This window comes from Homo sapiens, chromosome 13 (assembly GCF_000001405.40).
Source record: "Homo sapiens chromosome 13, GRCh38.p14 Primary Assembly".
NCBI classification, from domain to species: Eukaryota; Metazoa; Chordata; class Mammalia; order Primates; family Hominidae; genus Homo; species Homo sapiens.
The window spans coordinates 49,606,462-49,626,942 of NC_000013.11; the positions used below are offsets into that span (position 1 = coordinate 49,606,462).

Here is a 20,481-nt window from a genome sequence, read left to right on the forward strand (position 1 = left end):
GAAAATCACTTGAAACCAGGAGGTAGAGGCTTCAGTGAGCCAAGATCACACCACTGCACTCCAGCCTGGGGGACAGAGCAAGACTCTGTCTCAAAAATAAAAATAAAAATAAAAAAAAGAAAATACAATCTTCACAACTTAATAACTTATGTTATTCTTTCTAAAAATTAATTTCCTAAACCATGTAGTTTAATGTGATTTAATGTAGTTAAATACTAGCATTAAAACTTGTTTCTTGAAGGGCGCAGTGGCTCACACCTGTAATCCCAGCATTTTGGGAGGCTGAGGAGGGCAGATCGCCTGAAGTCAGGAGTTCGAGACCAGCCTGGCTAACATGGCGAAAACCCATCTTTAGTTAAAATACAAAAATTAGCTGGGTTTGGTGGTGCATGCCTGTAATCCCAGCTGCTCGGGAGGCTGAGGCACAAGAATTGCTTGAGCCCGGGAGATGGAGGTTGTAGTGAGCCGATATCGCACCACTGCACTCCAGCCTGGGCTACAGAGACTCTGTCAAAAAAAAAAGAAAAGAAAAGAAAAGCAGAAACTTGTTTCTTGATGAAGTTTGTTTTCCTGGGATCACACACAGATCTCCCACGGTGGTCCTTCTTGTTCTTTCTCCTTCTGCAAAGACCCTGGAAACCGCTTGTTGAAGATGGCGGGGCCACAGAATGAAAGGAGCCTTGGTCCCTGAGTCACGGCTTGGAGGAAAGCTTTATGGCGTTTAGGAACACTATTGTTTGTTGGTCCTGAAGAGGAAGTACTTCACAGAGCAAGCCTGCCACCATGTGGCGCGGGCCCAAACCTAGCATCAGTTAAAGGTTCATTCTCATTTACTTGGTTGCCTCTGGTTCACTTACTAACCAATCTAGATTTAATGCTGTCTAATAAGAAATTAATACCCAGGTGTATTCTATAGGTTTAAGTAGTTTTTAATTTCAAGATACATTTCTTCAATTCTGAAATTATTGCAATATTTCCAAACTGGCTACAGGAGTGACCACAACATTTATAATATGATCCAGGCACATTCACAAGAGGACTACTTCAGTGCATCACAAACATGGAAACAAACTCAGCAATTTGTAGGATTTATCTCAGTTCACTCAAAAGTTGGTCAATGAGCCAGATTAGAAGGCAGAATTCCGGCCAGGTGTGGTGGGTCATGCCTGTAATCACAGTGCTTTGGGAAGCTGAGGTGGGAGGATTGCTTGAGCCCAGGAATTTGAGACCAGCCTGGGCAACAGGGTGAGACCTTGTCGCTATAAAAAATAAAAAAATAAGAGGCAGAATTCCTTGGAATGGAAACAGGTAGTGTGAAGGACTGCCAAAAATGGATGAAAAACCCTCATGGAAGGAGAGTCAGAACTTAACAGTTTCCTAGAGTTTTAACACCGTATAAGCTCACTATGTTCTAGCATGCCAGGCTGACGTTTCCCAGAACTCTCTCTACATTTATCAAGACAGGAATGACATCGGAAGTTGTTTGCAAGACTATAGGTCTAGCAGGTGGCTAAGAGGAAGTCTGGTATTGCTGCTGCGTCTATTTTTATGTATTTATTCATTTATTTTTTAAGACGAAGTCTCACTCTGTTGCCCAGCCAGGAGTGCAGTGGTGCAATCTCAGCTCACTGCAACCTCCACCTCCTGGGTTCAAGCAATTCTCCCACCTCAGCCTCCTGACCACCTCCCAGGTTCAAGCAATTCTCCTGCCTCACCCTCCCGAGTAGCTGAGATTACAGGTGCGTGCCACCACACCTGGCTAATTTTGTATTTTTAATAGAGGGGTTTTACCATGTTGGCCAGGTTGGTGTCGAACTCTTGGCCTCAAGAGATCTGCCCACCTCAGCCTCCCAAAGAGCTGGGATTACAGGCATAAGCCACTGTGCCTGGCCTTGGTATAGCTGCTGCTTCTAACACTTGCTTCTAATGATTGGTGGGTGGAGGCAGCAGTACTCACATTCTGATACAGTTATTAAATGTTCCTTTTTTTCTTTGGTCCTATTACTACTTCTTTCTTTTTCTACCACTGCAAACTCTGAAATATCTATTACACATAAAATGTCAACTATAACTCACCTGATTTCACTGTAGAAAGCAATTAAAAGGGAAAAATTGTATTTACTTGAGGGTGAAAAAAAAAACCCACATCATCCTTTTCTTTATGTTCCTTTTTTACACTGATATATAAACTTGTTATTTCCACCTAACTAAATTGATTCATTTAATCCAGTGACTGTGGTTAAATTGAAAAAAGGTTTGAAAAGAGGGGGTGTCTATGGAAACCCAAACTTCTTCACACTCCAGCTTTTTCACTACCTTCTCACCTCCCCAGCTTCCACATTTTCGCAAGCATGGGTATATATGTCCCAAGGCTGTGGTTCCCAGGGGCCAAAAGTATATGAATAAGCCTATATTATGTAAACCTTTCATCTTTTAGGACATGCTGTGCCTTCCATTTAGAGCATTTATCATCTCCATTCTGATCACCATGTAACCAGATATGATGGGCCCAGTGATAGCTTCCCTAGAAGCCTCATCACTCCTTGTTCTAGAAAGGTCAGGTGCAGATGGCCTGACTCAGCCCAGCTCTAGAGACTGGGACACATCTCTGGTTCTTGTTCATTCTTCTCTTTGGCCTATGTGTTACAAATCAGCCTTCCTTATCATTGAAGTAGTATGTATGGGCTTAGGAAAGAGATCACTTCCTTTTTCTTAAAGAGCTCACCATATGGTCTAATCTAAACTAGCTCAGCAGGATTCTATAGTGGGATCTGAGGTTTTAGTGAAATTAAATGTGCTATTTAGATGAATATTGTCTAGATTCCCTATTTAAAGGAAAAATGGTTCCTTTCCATATAAAATAAATGTATTGTTTCTGTAAGAAATTTCTTACATTCTTTTCTCTAATCATCTCTTTGCAATATGTGATGGATATTGCTTTTTTTTTTTTAAGAGGCAAGGTCTTGCTCGCATGATCATAGCTCATGGTGGCCTCTACCTCCTGGGTTCAAGTGATCCTCCCACCTCAGCCTAGCTGAGACTACAGCCTACCTGGGACTACAGGTGTGTGCCACCATGCCTGACTAAAAAAAAAATTGTTTTTGTAGAGACAGGATCTCACTATGTTGCCCAGGCTGGTCTCAAACTCCTGGCTTCAAGCAATTCTCCTGTCTTGGCTTCCCAGAGTGCTGGGATTACAGGTGTGAGTCACTGTGCCTGGCCAAGTTATTGCTAAATATTAACTGAATTACAATTGATAAAAAATAATATCCCACTTATGTTCTAAAATATTCCAGACTAAAATATAACATCCTTAAATATTATTTGCTATTGTATACTAACCTTTACCTATGTAGCCAGATTTCACAAATCTTACAATATAAATTTTCCCCAAGTCTTCTCCATGAATTATATTCCTTTGTATATGAGGAAAAACAAATGGCAACTGCTGTTTCTTTGTATGTGCTCATAATTGAATTTAAGGGGTCCTCAAACTTATAAAGGATATCTGTCAAGAACCTAGAGAAAATATTACATTTAATGGTAAAACATTAGAAACATCACCACTGAAGTGATGTATGGATTTTTACAAAATATGGTCACAAATTCTTTGGCACCCCACCCATTGAGAGGTGGCATCTTTGTACCCTCCCTTTGAATTCGGATAGACTTAACGATTTGCTTGCAAACAATAAAATGCAGAATAAGTGGTACACACTGAGAAGTGTGGCTTCTCAGGCTAGGTCAGAAAAGGTGACACAGATTCCTACTTGTTCACTGGAATACTTGGTCTCAGATCCCTGAGCCTCCACATAAGTGGTCTGACTACCCTGAGAATGCCATGTTGGAAAGAGGCCAACTAACATGTAGAGGCCATCTGTAAGCACTCCAGTTGCTAGTCTCACTGAGCCCCCAGCTGACAGCAGCATCAACTGTCAGCCATGTGAGTGAGCCATTCTGGACATCCAGCCTAGGTGAACCGTCAGGTGACTTCATCCCCAGCTGACATCTGACTGCAGCTGCTTGAGATACCCTAAGTGAGAACAATGTGATCTAGCCCTTCTTGAAATCCTGACCCTCAAAATCATAAGCAAAACAAAATAATTGTTTTAAGCCACTAAATTTTGAGGTAATTTGCTTCACAGCAATAGTAACAAAAACAGACAAGGATTAGGAAAGTATGCCCTCTGTCACTGCTGTTATTTAATATTCAACTAGAACTTATGGACCAATAAGTAAATGAAACGGGAGGCCTAATGTTGGAAGGAATTAAACACGACCATCGTTTGCAGACAATGATTGTCTCCATAGACAAGTCAAGAGAATCCACTAAAAAAACAATTAGAACAAAGAAGAGTTCAGTATAAGTTTAATTTAATATAGGAAAGACATATAAAAATTAATAACTAATTAGAAAATGTATTTAGACAAAAGCGCCATTACCAATAACAGTAAAAACCCTAAAATACTTAGTAATAAAGTTTAAAAATACATAAAGGCTATATGGAGAAAATGTCTAAAGTTCACTAAAGGGCAGAATTTCTAGGAATAGTATCATAGAAGACATTGGGCAATTTCTTCCATAGATAATGATTATAAAAACTGGACAAATTTCTTAAAAACAACTATTTGTTGGTGTTTTTGTTAGATGACTCTTGAGAAGGGTTTACTCTTGAATGACGGATACTGCATCAGGTAAAAACTAAGAGTTTGTGACCCCTAAGCAGGGGGTCACTCCCCAACACCCTCCAGCTCTAGTGGCAGAAAACCACAGCCATACCAGCTTGAGGTGTCAGAGAATAAAGTTTAAGGCAGCAGACAACTGGATATTCAAGGGGGGAATCCTGTAAAAATGAGAGCCAGAGCCACAGAAGGACTGAATTGAAAAGCTGAGTATAAGCTCCGCTCAAATCCCTGCCTGCCTGCTAAACTGCTGAGACACACAAGAGACCCCAGGCAGCCCAGTGAAAAAGCAAGCAGAGACTAGAGAGGCATCTACCCTTGTGAGACAGAACTGCTCCTGGTGAGGTTTGTGAGTTTGCTGCACTGTTGACTTAACATGCACAAAGCTCAGGTCTTGCAGAAAGCAAAAACCTTATTGGCTTGAGGTGCCACTGGGCAGAACTTGGGGCTGGCAGAGCAACTGGATATTTAGGAAGAAAGCAAGGGAGCTGTACAGTAGGTAAGCTTCAATACCTGAATATAAATTCTTTCCAAATCTGTGGCTGACCCTAAACTACACAGGCTCAGGAAAGACTCCCAGGCACTAGGCCAAAAAAGAAGCAACTGGATCCTGAGAAAACTGTGCAGAAGAATACATCAACTACTATAAATTGCTGGGGACAGATTTTTCAGTTTAAATGCAGGCAGGTTAACTGCCTACTAGAACAATATGGCAACAACCCTCAGAAGAACAAAACAGAATCTTGAGTGGGTATAACATTACTACAATGTCCAGTGTTTTTTGTTTTTTGTTTTCTTGTTTTTTTTTTTTGAGACGGAGTCTCGTTCTGTCGCCCAGGCTGGTGTGCAGTGGCGTGATCTCGGCTCACTGCAAGCTCCGCCTCCTGGGTTCACGGCATTCTCCTGCCTCAGTCTCCCAGGTAGCTGGGACTACAGGTGCCCGGCTAATTTTTTGTATTTTTTTAGTAGAGACGGGGTTTTACCTTGTTAGCCAGGATGGTCTTGATCTCCTGACCTCATGATTCACCTGCCTCGGCCTTCCCAAAGTGCTGGGATTACAGGCATGAGCCACTGCACCCAGCCTACAATGTCCAGTTTTAAACCAAAAATTACTAGACATGCAAAGAATCAGGAAAGTGTTACTACTCTCAGGAAAAACAAAATCAGTCCATAGCAACTGAATCATAGTGGGCTCAAATGTTGGATTCAACAGACAAAGACTTCAGAGCAGCTATTGTAAATATGTTCAAGAGTTAGTAAGGCACATGTTTAAAGAACATAAGGAAAGTATGGCATTACTGAGTGAACATGTAGGAAATGTTAATAGAGAAATGAAAATTCTAAAAATGAATCAAGTAGAAATTCTCAAGCTGAAAAGTATAATAGCTGAAAGTTCCATGAAGAATACAAAGGAAGACTTGCATAAATGGAAAGGCAACACATATTTCTAGATGAGAAGTCTCAATTGTGTAATGATGTCAATTCTCCACAAATCAATCTATTAAAAGCTACCCCAATTACAATTCCAACATTATTTTTCCACCAAAGTGTTTAATGAAATTTGAAAACATGATCTTAATGTTCATATGAAAAAGAGAGTACAGACTGGGTGTGGTGGCTCACGCCTGTAATCCCAGCACTTTGGGAGGCCAAGGTGGAGGATCACCTAAGGTCAGGAGCTTGAGACCAGCCTGGCCAACATGGCAAAACTCCATCTCTACTAAAAATACAAAAATTAGCTCAGTGTGATGGTGTACACCTGTAATCCCAGCTACTAGGGAGGCTAAGGCAGGAGAATCACTTGAACCTGGGAGGTGGAGCTTGCAGTGAGCCGAGATTGTGCCACTGCACTCCAGCCTGGGCAACAGAGTGAGACTGTCTCAAAAAAAAAAAAGTACATTAAAATGACCACAAGATTTTGTAGGTAAAATATAGAGGGCAGGAGACTTTTCCTATCAAATACAATAACATTAAAGATATTCATTAAACTAATGTGATATTAGCAAAAGATCCACAGATAGAATTGTGGAATGGAATATAGAAGGCAGAAACATCTAAACCCACACATACATATAAATATATGAATTTAGTGTACAATAACAGCGATACTTCAAGCCAGAAAAAAAGATAGCTCATTTAATAAATAATGCTTATTAAATTCATCTAAGTTGTTTGTTATATCGGCATAAAGTTTTCTATAATATCCTCCTTGTCAGCTTTTCTCCAGCTTTACTGAGGTATAAACTGTACATGATTCATGTATACAATTTGGTGAGTTTGGACATATATATCCACTCATGTTACCATAACCACAATCCAGGTAATAAATATATCCATCACTTCATCACCTCCAAAAGTTTCCTTGTGTCCCTTTGTTTATGTTTTTTGTTTTTCTGTGGTAAGAACACTAAATTTGAGATCCACCCTTTTAACACAATCCTAAGTATGCAGTATCTTATTGTTAACTATAGGCAATATGTGTACAGCAGATATGTGGACTTACTCAGCTTGAATAAATGTAACTTTATACTTTTAAAGTACTTCCCATGTCCCTCTCCCCCGATCCTCTGGTAACCACCATTCTGTTGTCTACTTCTACACCTTCAACTATTTTCAATGTCTCACATAAGGGGAATGATGTAGTATTTGTTCTTCCGTGACAGACTTACTTCACTTAGTATAATGTCTTCCAAGTCCATTCATGTTATCACAAATGATAGGGTTTCCTTCTTTTTTTTTTTTTTTTTAGATGGAGTCTTGCTCTGTCACCCAAGCTGGAGTGTCTCAGCCTCCCAAGTAGCTGGGATTATAGGCATGCGCCACCACGCCTGGCTAATTTTTGTGCTTTTAGGAGAGACGGGGTTTCACCATATTAGGCTGGTCTCGAACTCCTGACCTCAGGTGATCCACCAGCCTCGGCCTCCCAAAGTGCTGGGATTACAAGCATAAGCCACCACGCCCAGCCCTGGGTTTTCTTCTTTTTTAAAGCTGAATATGCCAAGTGCAGTGGCTCGCACTTGTAATCCCAGCACTTTGGGAGGCCGAGGTGGGCAGATCACGAGGTTAAGAGTTCGAGACCAGCCTGGCCAACACAGTGAAACACTGTCTCTACCAAAAATGCAAAAATTAGCCAGATGTGGTAGCACGTGCCTATAATCCCAGCTACTCAGGAGGCTGAGGCCGGAAAATCACTTGAACCCAGGAGAACAAAAATGAGCCCTTGGACATTTAAAATATAACAGCAGAAGTAAATATTGTGATGGAAGGATTGGAAGATAATGTTGAAGAAATCCAGAAAGTAGAGTGAAAAGGCAAAGGTGTAAGAAAGGAAAGAAAATATTTTTAAAATTAGAGACTAAGCAGAATGCAACAATCAAATAATAGGAGTTCCAGAAAAAGAGAACATTAAAAATGGAGTGGAGGCCAGGTGTGATGGCTCACATCTATAATCCCAGCACTTTGGGAGGCCGAGGATGGTGGATCACCTGAGGTCAGAAGTTCGAGACCAGCCTGGGCAACATGGTGAAACCCCAACTGTACTAAAAATACAAAAATTAGCCCCGTGTGGTGGAGCATACCTGTAGTCCCAGCTACTCAGGACGCTGAGGCAGGAGAATTGCTTGAACCCAGGAGGCAGAGGTTGCAGTGAGCTTGATCATGCCACTGTACACCAGCCTGGGTGACAGAGCAAAAAAGCTATTACTGATTAAGCACATTATACATTATATCTACATTAATTTATTTACTCCTCCCAACACCTCTGAGAGGTAATTTTTTTGTCCCCATTTATAGATGTGGAAACTGAGGCTACATAAGATTAAGTGCCTTGCCTCAGACTAGTTTTGTTGTTTTTGTTTTTTTAATAAATAGACACAGAGTCTTGCTAAGTCACCAGGATTGGTCTCAAACTTCTGGCCTTAAGCGATCCTCCTGCCTCAGGCTCCCAAAGTGCCGAGACTATAGACATAAGTCACCACACCAACCAGCTTAGTTTTTTTCTTTTCACTTCTAAATATTATATCATTTTGTCAAGAACTACTTTTATATATGTGAAAAGGGATCAATACAAAAGCTAAGAAAGAAGCAAGCACAACTCTATTTTTATTTATTTATTTATTTATTTTGAGATGTAGTCTTGCTCTGTTGCCTAGGCTGGAGTACAGTGGCACGATCTCAGGTCACTGCAACCCCCGCCTCCCGGGTTCAAGTGATTCTCCTACCTCAGCCTCCTGAGTAGCTGGGATTACAGGCGCCTGCCACCACGCCCAACTAATTTTTGTATTTTTAGTACAGTTGGTGTTTCACTATGTTGCCCAGGCTGGTCTCGAACACCTGACCTCAAGTGATCTGCCCACCTTGGCCTCCTAAAGTGCTGCGATTACAGGTGTGAGCCACCACACCCAGCCAGCACAACTCTTTCTAGAAGGGAAGAATGACATTGCCACTATTGGATGAAGACTCCCAGGAGAAGATGATGAGGTGAAGAGAGTCTCTGGGTCAGAGTCTGAATTTCACTCCCTTGGGAGCCTTACAAGAGCCCCTTCTGGGGAGGACCGTGGACAAAGCCATATCTTAGGAAGGATAGGCCTCAGCATATTGGGGCAATATTGACAGACCTTTAGTGCAGGCCCAGCTCTATCGTCCAGCAGGAATATGGCCTTGGGAATGAACTACTGTGCGCGATCTACTTCAAGACACAGCTCCAGTCTCATGAGTGAGCAAATCAGAATACGTCTTGCGGGTTGAAGGGAGAATCCTTAGCTGGTCGTGGCTGTGGGGCCTGGATCCTGTGCTGATGAAGTTTCTCCCTTCCCCTTCATGCAAAATAAATACTTTGCTCATTGATGCACAGGGTAATGGTAAGTCATCTGGGAAATCCAGCCAAGTCACAAGCACTAATCTTAGTTTCTAACTATGAAGTGACCTTCCAACCTCCTTCCTAATCAAGTTAGGTTTTTTTGGTTTGTTTTTCTTTTTCCTGCAAAGTAAAAATATCCAGTTCAGGAAATGTGGCTGATTGAATAGCAGCTGCCATGGAGGACCTACTTTGGATATTGAAACAACCTTGGAAGAAGATCAGAAACTCACTCCCATCAGCTCCTGTTTTGAGGCAGGCCTGGAGCTCATCACCCAGATTAGTCTTGGCCTCCACATTGTCCTTCCTGTATATTTTTAGGAGAAAGTATCTGGCCACTGTTTCTTTTTCCTCTCAATGCTAGGAAACTTCCTGTAATATTGGAAAAGTAGAAGTTGAAGCGGCTTCAGTGCAAAACTAACATTCTCTGGATCTTTCTCACGCTGTTCGGAAAGTAGATCACCCACTGTTATTTCCTTTTCCTGGCTTTTTTTTTTTTCCTAACAGACAAAGAGAGGCACTGCCACGATACTATTTCTGTTCAGAGGGGGAGAGAGAGCAAAAAGAGACAGGCAGAAACATTTTCCCCAGCCTTGCCACATTCTTCACTCAGTTATAAAGAAACGCATTGCCAATAAAATAGAAAACAGAAATAGCAGGAAAATTCTGAAAGATGAGCTGTGCTGTAAATGTAAAACACAAGCCACTTAATGCATAATCATTCAAAGGACAGTTTGTAATGAAAATAAAGACATTTCAAAAGAGCCCATAATTTGCTTACATTACATTCTGTATCTAATTGTTATAGTATGTTTTATTCCTCTTATACAAGAAAAAATGTTGACCTCCCTCATTCATATGGCATGCAGATGCATTTGAGCAGGGTTTTTTGGGTTTAATAATGTGATAGACTGGCTGGGCACTCATGCCTGTAATCCCAACCCTTTGAGAGGCTGGCAGGCAGATCACTTGAGGCCAGGAGTTCGAGACCGGCCTGGCCAACATGGTGAAACACTATCTCTACTAAAAATACAAAAATTAGCTGGGCGTGGTGGCACATGCCTATAGTTCCAGCTACCCGGAAGGCTGAGGCAGGAGGCTGAGCTTGGGAGGCAGGAGGCTGAGCTTGGGAGGCAGGAGACTGAGTTTGGGAGGCAGAGGGCTGCAGTGAGCCGAGATCATGCCACTGCACTCCAGCCTGGGTGACAGAGTGAGACTCCATCTCAAAAAATATATATATGTATTATAGAATATTAGAGCTTTAGACATCACCTAGTGCAAACTTCTTGCTTTACAGATTAGAAAATTGAGGCTTAGAAAGTCTAAGTAATGGCCAAGCACAGTGGCAAATGTCTGTAATCCCAGCCCTCTGGGAGGCCAAGGCAGGAGGATTGTTTGAAGCCAGGAGTTCAAGACCAGCCTGAGCAAAACAGACAGACCCCCCCACCCCAATCTCTACAAAAAAAAAATTTTAATTAGCCAGGTGTGGTGGCATGTGCCTGTAGCCCTAGCCCTAGCTACTTGGGAGGCTGAGGCAGGAGGACTGTTTGAGCCCAGGAATTTGAGCCTGCAGTGAGCTATGATTGCACCACTGTACTCCAGCCTGGGCAACAGAGCCCGACCCTATATCTAATTAATAATAACAAAAAGATTAAATAACTTAACCCAGGCAACACAGATGGAAAGTAGCAGAGCTGGGGGCTAGAATCCAGATCTAAATCTTCAGCCTGCATTCTTCCTAATTTATGTGGAGCCTCACACTGTCTTGCCCTGTCCCATGTGCAAGATAGCAGCCGAGAATGACTACTGCAGCATTCCTTCTGATTTCCTTATTTCTGACTTGAATATGCTACACCAGTAACAAAACTATGAGCACCCAAGACACAACCACACGCATGTGCACACACAGAGACGCACACACATACTGTTAACAGATACTGAGACAAAGATCTTGGAAGACAGCATTGTCTTCTGAAAAGAGAATCTTCTGCTATGGAATGTCTGGGAAGGAAGTGTGACAGACGTTTTCACTCACCCAACACCTTTCCCACTTTCTTCTTGCTACAAGTAGCATAATTTTATTCAGATAGCATGGAGTGGGGGCAGACAGGGTGGGGGCAATGCGCTCAGAGAAGGTAGACCCAGCCTGGCCAAGCCAAGTAATTTTATTCTCCTGGTCAGGAAGATGTATGGAGAAATTGGCTGGTAGGCTTTAGGAAAACATTTCATTTTTTATTACACAAATGCACACACATGCACACAAGCAGCCAAAAACACTTACACCTTTCCCTTTCTTCCTGCCTTTTTTTTTTCTTTGAGATGGAGTTTTGCTTTTGTTGCCCAGGCTGGAGAGCAATGGTGCAATCTTGGCTTACTGCAACCTCTGCCTCCCGGGTTCAAGTAATTCTCCTGCCTTAGCCTCCCAAGTAGCTGGGATTACCGGTGTATACCACCATGGCCAGTTGATTTTTTTGTATTTTCACTAGAGACGTGGTTTCACCATGTTGGCCAGGCTGGTCTCGAACTCCTGACCTCAAGTGATCCACCCACTTTGGCCTCCCAAAGTGTTGGGATTACAGGCCTGAGCCACTGCACCTGGCCTCTTCCTGCCTTTCAATTCAGTTTTGTGAGAATAAGATATTTGATGTTGCTGCACAACATTGCTGGGGAGTCATCACACCTAAGTTGACAGTGCTGAAGCAGAAACATGGAAAGAGACCGGCTCTTTGATGACACTTGAGCTGCGAAACTGACCTGGAATGACCTCCTTCCAGATGTATTGTCATGAGAGAGAATAAGACAATCTCATTGTTTCAGCCACTTGCAGTGGGTGTTTTATAACTTGCAGCTGAAAGCATAGTTACCTCTCTGAGCCTCAGTTTTTTCCTTTAGAAAATGGCGATAACACTACTTACCCAGCAGGTCGTAGGAGGAAATGGTATAATACAATGCCTAACATAAAGGAACTCAGTAAATCGTAGCTAGTCATATCATAATCATGATAACCCTCATAGCAAAATCCTCAGTGGTGGGAATGTTTTCTCCACTCCGCCAGTGTCATGGCATCGGGTTGCTTCTCCCTACAGTGGTGGTCTGGAGACAGTTTGCCCCGCTGCCACCTCTTCTCCAAGTGCTGAGGAGCTCAGGCATGGGAGCTTTGGGCCTGGGAGCTTTGGGCCGGGGAGGTAGGGAGTCCAGTCTGTAAAGGAAAACAATAAAAATGAAAAGCAAGCATGTAAAATCATAATAACATATTGAATAATCTTAGCAAGCCACAAAGTGTTCTTTATTTTTTATTTATTTATTTTTTTGGGACGGAGTCTCTCTCTGTTGCCCAGGCTGGAATGCAGTGGCATGATCTCAGCTCACTGCAACCTCCCCCTCCCGGGTTCAAGCAATTCTCCTGCCTCAACCTCCTCAGGAACTGGGATTACAGGTGCCTGCCACTGCACCTAGCTAATTTTTTGTATTTTTAGTAGAGACGGGGTTTCACCATGTTGGCTAGGCTGGTCTTGAACTCCTGACCTCGTGATCTGCCCGCCTCAGCCTCCCAAAGTGCTGGGATTACAAGCATGAGCCACCGCGCCCAGCCAAGTGTTCATTTCTTATGTCCCAGAAGTCCCAACTCTGGCAATCTAGCCCATAGAAATAATCCAAATGAAGAGAGAAATTTTACTCACCAAATCTTTAATTCAGATTTTTTTGCAGCCTTTAGAAGTAAATAATAATATATCCCCTTGATATAATATAATTATGAAGCCAACACAGTAATGTTTATTAGAAACTATGTAGGGGTGGCCCGGCGCGGTGGCTCACGCTTCTAATCCCAGCACTTTGGGAGGCCGAGGCGGGCGGATCACGAGGTCAGGAGATCGAGACCATCCTGGCTAACACGGTGAAACCCTGCCTCTACTAAAAAAATACAAAAAATTAGCCGAGCATGGTAGCTGTAGTCCCAGCGACTCGGGAGGCTGAGGCAGGAGAATGGCATGAACCCGGGAGGCAGTGTTTGCAGTGAGCCTAGATTGCACCACTGCACTCCAGCCTGGACAACACAGCGAGACTCCGTCTCAAAAAAAAAAAAAAAAAAGAAACTATGTAGGAATAAGGCAATGTAATTCTTAATATAAATTAAATGAAAACAAAATCAGAATACAAAATTGTATGTGTGCTCTGCTTACAACCACGTGGAGCACAGCTATAATTAAAGCGGGCTATACTTGGCACACTGATTGTTAAATAAGTGCAGCGAACACAGGAAATAAGGGGGCTGCGGGTTGTTGAAGAAACTGGCCAGAAAACGGAACGAAGAGGAGAGAAGCTAACGGTGCTCATCGTGTGGCACGCAGGTGCGTTGTTTTCTCTCCACTAAGGCTGCTGGGTGGGGCCAAAATAGTCCAGGCAGCCAAGTGCAGAGGCGTTGGGGGCGGCAAAGATGCAAAGGATCCCCACTGTGGCTGCACCCCGAGGAGGAGTCCGTGGCAGGAGGCCCACACCCAGGACCCGGCGCCAACAGTGAGGAGACGAACCTGGAAGACATCCCGCTGTCCAGACACCGCGAGGGAGGCGAGTGGTGCTCGCAGCCTGGGACTTAGGAACACAGGGAAACAGCTTCCACATGCCATTTGCTGAATAAATATTTCTTGCAGGATGTTTCCTATGGATTCATTCTCTATCATGAAAGCTTTATTTGTGGTCAGCGTCCTAGGAAAGCAGAGGCAGACAGATTTCTGTTCTAGGGAGTTCTGTGGAGGGTTACAGATCAGCAATATTCCACTGAAACCAAATACCTAGGAAAAGCATGGAAGGACACACAGAAATCACAAATTATTATATTATATTATACTATACTATACTATACTAATATTATATTATATTATATTATATTATATTATATTATATTATATTATATTATATTATATATTTATTTTTTGAGACAGGGTCTTGCTCCGTCATCTAGGCTGGAGTGCAGTGGCGCAATCATGGCTTACTGCAGCCTCAACCTCCCAGGTGCAGGTAATCCTCCTGCCTCAGCCTCCTGAGTAGCTGGGACTACAGCTGCATGCCATCACACCCGACTAATTTTTAAATTATATAGTTGTAGACATGGGTTCTCTCTATGTTGCCCAAGCTGATCTTGAACTCCTGGGCTCAAGCAATCCTCCTGCCCTGGCCTCCCAAAGTGCTGAGATTACAGGCATGAACCACCGTGCCTGGCCAAAATGTATATTTTAAAAAACATATAAAAATAGAGTTGGCTGGGCGCGGTGGCTCACGCCTTTAATCCCACCACTTTGGGAGACCGAGGCTGGTGGATCACTAGGTCAGGAGATCGAGACCATCCTGGCTAACACGGTGAAACCCCGTCTCTACTAAAAATACAAAAATTAGCCAGGCGCGGTGGCGGGCACCTGTAGTCCCAGCTGCTGGGGAGGCTGAGGCAGGAGAATGGTGTGAACCCGGGAGGTGGAGCTTGCAGTGAGCCGAGATCACGCCACTGCACTCCAGCCTGGGCAACAGAGCGAGACTCTGTCTCAAAAAAAAAAAAAATAGAGTTAATAAATATATCTATGTGTTATAGATATAAATAAAATGTGTTTGCAATCATTATCTACTGTGTCCTATAACTAATTAAGATCTTCACCCATAAAAATCCCAACCCTATTATGAATTTGGAGTACTTTCTGGTGGTGGACTCACACTTTTTCATGCAAGCTCCTTTGCCCCCTATGCAACCACTGCCCACGTTGTGCTCCAGGGCAGACCATAGTTCACAGGCGGAAGCAGGTGCCATGTAGGAATGAGACCACATGTACCATGAAGCAACGGAGCTCACTGATTCAGAGGCAAGATGCTGGCCCCTCTGGCTGTCACCATGGATGACTGCTGATTTAAGGTCTTTCTTGGTCATCCCACCTGGCACCACCACTTCTGGTCCCTTCTCTTCAGTTTCCTCTACCCAGCTATGTCCTCCTCTACTGATAAGCCCTGAAACAGAGCAAGTGGCCTCTTTTTTAATGTAACAAATATTTTACAATATTCATTTGTAAAGTCTAGAAATGAAAATAATACACAATAGCATCTACCTAGCCACACAATCTTGAAAAACAATCAGTATAATGCTGTAACTATAACGTAAGAAATAAATGAAGGTATTTATTTATTTATTTATTTATTTATTTTTAGAGACAGAGTCTTGCTCTATAGCCCAGGCTGAAGTGCAGTGGTGCAAGTGGTGCAGCCTCGAACTCCTGGGCTCAAATGATCCTCCTGCCTCAGCCTTCTGAGTAGCTGGGACTAGAGGTGTGCACCACTATGCCTAGCTAATTTTTAACTTTTTTGTAGAGACTGGGTCTTGCTATGTTGCCCAGGCTGGTCTTGAACTCCTTGTTGAGGATCAGTGGGAGATGAAAGGGAGGAGAGACAGTGAGGACCCCTTGGCACTACCCACCTTCCCTACCCACCGGCAAGTCCCCAATGAGTGATGTCCAGTATGGGTCTGGGCGGGGCAAGTGATCCTCCTGCCTCAGCCTCCCAGAGTGCTTAAATTACAGATGTGAGCCACTCTACCCAACGGAAGGTAATTTGAAATAAAATAATACATGTTCCCATACATAAGTGCTCAGGACAATCACATTAATGAAGTTGTCACGTTCTTGCATCTAAATTTAGAATCCACATGAGCACCATGGCAGTGGATCGCCGTTTTGGTGCGTCTTATCAGCAACTTAAATGCCACGCTGTTATTCAAAGCGCTGCTGTCAGTGATGTGATTTTCCAAAATAATGAGCAGCTCTTGGAAAAGCTCCAAACAGAACAAAGTGCAAACTTTCCTCAATGCATACAGTAGTTGTGTTTCTGGAAAGTGTAGTGTATATGAAAACCACATGAAAATAGTCTGCGGTTACATATAAAACAAAATTAGGTTCTAGGATCAGATAGTTTTTATTTTATTTTATTTTATTTTATTTTATTTTATTTTATTTTATTTTATTTTATTTTTGAGACGGAGTCTCCCTCTGTTTCCCAGCCTGGAGTGCAGTGGCACAATCTTGGCTCACCACAACCTCTGCCTCCCAGGTTCAAGTGAATCTCCTGCCTCAGCCTCCCAAGTAGCTGGGACTACAGGCACGCTCCACTATGCCCGGCTAATTTTTGTATTTTTAGTAGAGACGGGGTTTCACTATATTGGCGAGGCTGGTCTTGAACTCCTGACCACGTGATCCACCCGCCTTGGCCTCCCAAAGTGCTGGGATTATAGGCTTGAGCCACCGAGCCCAGCCCAGATACTTTTTAAATGGTGTTTTTTTTCTTTAAACTACTACATAAATGTTTGGGACATTCAAAAGTGAAATTCAAATTTAAGAAACATTTTTTTCTTGCACAAAATATTCTTGGGTGTTATAGGATGTCTAGCATCTCTAGTCCCCACTCACTGAATGTCAGGCACATGCTCAAATCAAACTCTCCAAGAGTGGTCATTGAGAACTACTCTTTCCTGTATATGAGTAGACCTTGTACTCTCTGTCCACTTTTCTCCACATCTGGGGAAAGCTGAATCATGGGCATAAGTACCTGTAAACAGTCACTGATACACATGTTACATCTGTAGCAACCACCCCAAATTCAGATATATAGCTTAGGGCCCCATGGGTTGCCTAATACATGATGGTCATAGAGGGAGGAAATTTCTCGGAGAATTTCATTCAACCTTCAGCATGATTGGAGCATTGGTTCTCACCACAGTACCCACAAAGGTAACTTGTACCCCACCCAGCCCCATCTTGTACATCACTCACTGGGGACTTGGTGGTGGGTAGGAAAGGTGGATGGTTCCTAGGGTTCCTGGCTGTCTCTCCTCCCCTTTGTCTCCCACTGATCCTCAACACAGCTCATGGCTGAGAACTTCTGATTGAGAGATTTATACAAGAAATTGCATTCCTCAAAGTAAGTGATTATTGAGGGAAAAAAAAAGGAAAACCATGAAAAAAACCCCAATGCACCCTACTTGCTTATATGTGCGTAGAATATCTCTGGAAAAATGTCTAAGAAACCAATGGTGTGAGCTGTTTCCCAGGGAGGGTCTGGCATGGCTGGAGCACTGCGGTGAAAGGAGAACGTCCTTGATGCTCTACTCTTTTGTACCTTCAGAATTTTGTATGGATGGCTTGAAAATAGAAAGAAATAGAATTTGATTTTTAAAAGAGGCAGTCCCTGGAAAAAAGTTATTAATTTGCATATTGCAAGTTGAGAAAGTGAGAGACCAGAGCAAGAGGAGGTCACAACAAGATAAAAAGGTGGGGGCCGTTATGGAGCCCAGGGAAAGGAGGGCTGGACAAGAGACTCCGTCCATGTTTCTCTAGCACTTTCCAGGAGAATAAAGCTCTTGTTCTAGCACTCTCCTCCTTTGGACCTATCTGTAGAGAGCAGAAAAGTGACCACGAGGCTCTGTTGCATGATAAACAACCCCTTAAAAACCACCAACTTTCCATGGTCTTCCAGCAACCCATTTGGATGTCGTCCCTACAGTTGACTCCTTCAGTCCCTGTGTGTGTCCTCTGCGTGCCCCTGGCCCCCTGCCTTCCCTTAGCTGTGCTGCACAGAAAACCGCCCCAGCTCTTGGGTCAAACAGATCCCATAAGAAACATCAGAAGAAGCATCCTGGCTTACAAGTTATTTTTTGGTGAGTGCAATGGGCGTGCCGTGCTCCTCCAGGCCTGACCACCTGTATGAGAGTTGGCAGGAGGACATTTCTAAACTCACACTCTTAGGGCAGTAGAGATGGGGCCTAAGACCTTTGTCTCTCCTGGTATCAGTGAGCCCCGTGTAGCCCCTTTTCCTTATTCCAGGTCTGGAAGCTGCAGTCACAGACACACAAAGGTGCTGGGGCTTGCACATTCACCAGCGTCACTTTCTCCAGCCACACCACTACGTTTGAGGGCTCTCCTGTCCTTCTCTAACAGAACTAGTCTGGGACTAGACGCCAGGCTTTGGGCTAAGTACTTGATGTGTCTTCACTTATTAAATCCTTCCAATAACCCTTCAAGTTAGGTACCATTATTATCGTCATCAACCTCATTTTATAGAGAAGGAAACTGAGGTGCAGAGAAATTCAGGTTGAGGTTCACAGCAAATAAGCAGTGGAGGCCAAGTGTGCCCCCAGGTGGACCCAAATCAAAGCCACACTGTTACCTTCTGCTCTGCGCTGCCTCCCGGGGCAGTAGCCCTCGTGAGCCTCCCCACGTTGGGGTGTCTAATGAAAAGCTTCCCTGCTGGTTGAGCTGAAGGGGTCAGGGTCGGGGCTGTACAGAGAAACTCAGGCCACAAGGGCCTTTGGGCAGAACTGGGGTCACAAAGTAATCATGGTTTCCCAGCGAACACAAGACTTTGGCCCTCAGGCAAGGCTCCTTGATGTCTGGGGGAGCCTGTGCCCCCCAGCAGTGCTCACAGATCCACCCCTGACTGCCAGCCGGCCCCTTGATGGCGGTGCCTGTCTCAGATTCTGTGGTCAGTGCCACGCAGCTACCTCCAGAGGCAGCCTGCAGCCTGGCCATGTGGCCCCAAGCTCCAGGCTAGAGGCCAAGGGGAGTGTCCCTTCTCTCTCTGTGTCACCCAGGGCATAGGTCACCCAGGCAGCCTGGCATGGTGCCTCCAAGCCACTGTGCTAATGCTTCTACAGCTTCTGCTCCCTCCCTGCCTCCATGGGGCCCAAACCTAGCCCTGGTGCTGCTCTGGGAACTGGGTCAGAGCAGCACCCCAGCTCCCCCACCCCCAGGAGCCCCTCAACCTTGGCCTGCTGTCATCCTCGTCCGGCCCCAATCTTCCTGCAAATCGGGCCCTTGCAGGATTCCTGCTGACTCAGCAGCTGGGCCCGGACAGGACTTAGTCCCAGCGTGAGCCGATCCCGCTGCAGTTTGGGCGAGAATGACAAGCCCTCCACCAGACGATTCTTTATTGCTCTGAGACTTCCCTGGGATAATTCCACCCCCAGGAGCACTCTATCTGTTTCTGTCTCCTCCCCACACACCCCCTGGCCTTGAAAAAGGATGATCACTGACCACAGGCACTGAAAAGAGCAAACCAAGAGCAGCATCAATACCCTCACACAGTGGTGCACATAACACACTTTGAGTTTCTGACTTTTCCTAATCAGTTCTTCCTGCTAAAATACAGTAGCTTAACAAAAACAATGACAACAACAATCTGGTGTTTGCCATTTACAAGGCACTTTCTGTGTGAGTAGCATGACATGGTAAAAGAGAAAGAGATGAATTATAAAACGCAGCAAGATCATGAGTCAATGATTCACCCTGTCCCAGCCTGCTTCTTTTTTTTTTTTTTTGAGACAGAGTCTTGCTCTGTCACCAGGCTGGAGTGCAGTGGCGCGATCTCAGCTCACTGCAACCTCCGCCTTCCGGGTTCAAGCGATTCTCCTGCCTCAGCCACCCGAGTAGCTGGGACTACAAGTGTGCGCCACCATGCCCAGCTAATTTTTGTATTTTTAGTAGAGATGGGGTTTCACCATGTTGGCCAGGATGGTCTCGATTTCTTGACCTTGTGATCTGCCCGCCTCGGCCTTCCAACCGAGCCTGCTTCTTTTCTTGTAAAATGGAAGAGTCATAACATCCAACTTGAGTCTTGATATTTTAATGAAATAATGCATGGGAAAGCAGAAAACAGCACAAAGATTACTGGTTATAAGAGCTAAATCACTGTGACTCCATATCCAAATTCAATACCTACTGAATCAGTGGTTTCTGACTAGTCAATTTTTTTTCTTTTTTTCTTTTTTTTTTTGAGACAGAGTCTCGGCTGGGTGCAGTGGCTCACACCTGTAATCCCAGCTCTTTGGGAGGCCGAGGCGGGCAGATCACTCGAGATTAGAAGCTGGAGACCAGCCTGGCCAACATGGCAAAACCCTGTCTCTACTGAAAATAAAAAAA

At 44.0% G+C, this 20,481-nt stretch overlaps 1 long non-coding RNA gene across 1 annotated transcript, besides 4 other annotated features; it reads right to left on the minus strand.

The window, feature by feature from the left end:
- Positions 425–644: an enhancer, noted in NCBI's record as "active region_7750". NCBI's record gives its function as "activates an Ori minimal core promoter by ATAC-STARR-seq in GM12878 lymphoblastoid cells {active_cell/tissue: GM12878}" and the evidence as "EXISTENCE:reporter gene assay evidence [ECO:0000049][PMID:35858748]".
- LOC105370204 (uncharacterized) lies at positions 9,771–13,984 on the minus strand. Its single transcript, XR_941962.3, has 3 exons — positions 13,219–13,984; positions 12,454–12,737; positions 9,771–10,221 (listed from the first exon to the last, which is right to left on the minus strand). It is a non-coding gene; the product is annotated as an uncharacterized LOC105370204 (long non-coding RNA).
- Positions 13,527–14,027: an enhancer, noted in NCBI's record as "H3K4me1 hESC enhancer chr13:50194124-50194624 (GRCh37/hg19 assembly coordinates)". NCBI's record gives its function as "activates a minimal SCP1, AML or CMV promoter by ChIP-STARR-seq in naive H9 embryonic stem cells {active_cell/tissue: H9 hESC(naive)}" and the evidence as "EXISTENCE:reporter gene assay evidence [ECO:0000049][PMID:30033119]".
- Positions 14,028–14,528: an enhancer, noted in NCBI's record as "H3K4me1 hESC enhancer chr13:50194625-50195125 (GRCh37/hg19 assembly coordinates)". NCBI's record gives its function as "activates a minimal SCP1, AML or CMV promoter by ChIP-STARR-seq in naive H9 embryonic stem cells {active_cell/tissue: H9 hESC(naive)}" and the evidence as "EXISTENCE:reporter gene assay evidence [ECO:0000049][PMID:30033119]".
- Positions 14,064–14,173: an enhancer, noted in NCBI's record as "active region_7751". NCBI's record gives its function as "activates an Ori minimal core promoter by ATAC-STARR-seq in GM12878 lymphoblastoid cells {active_cell/tissue: GM12878}" and the evidence as "EXISTENCE:reporter gene assay evidence [ECO:0000049][PMID:35858748]".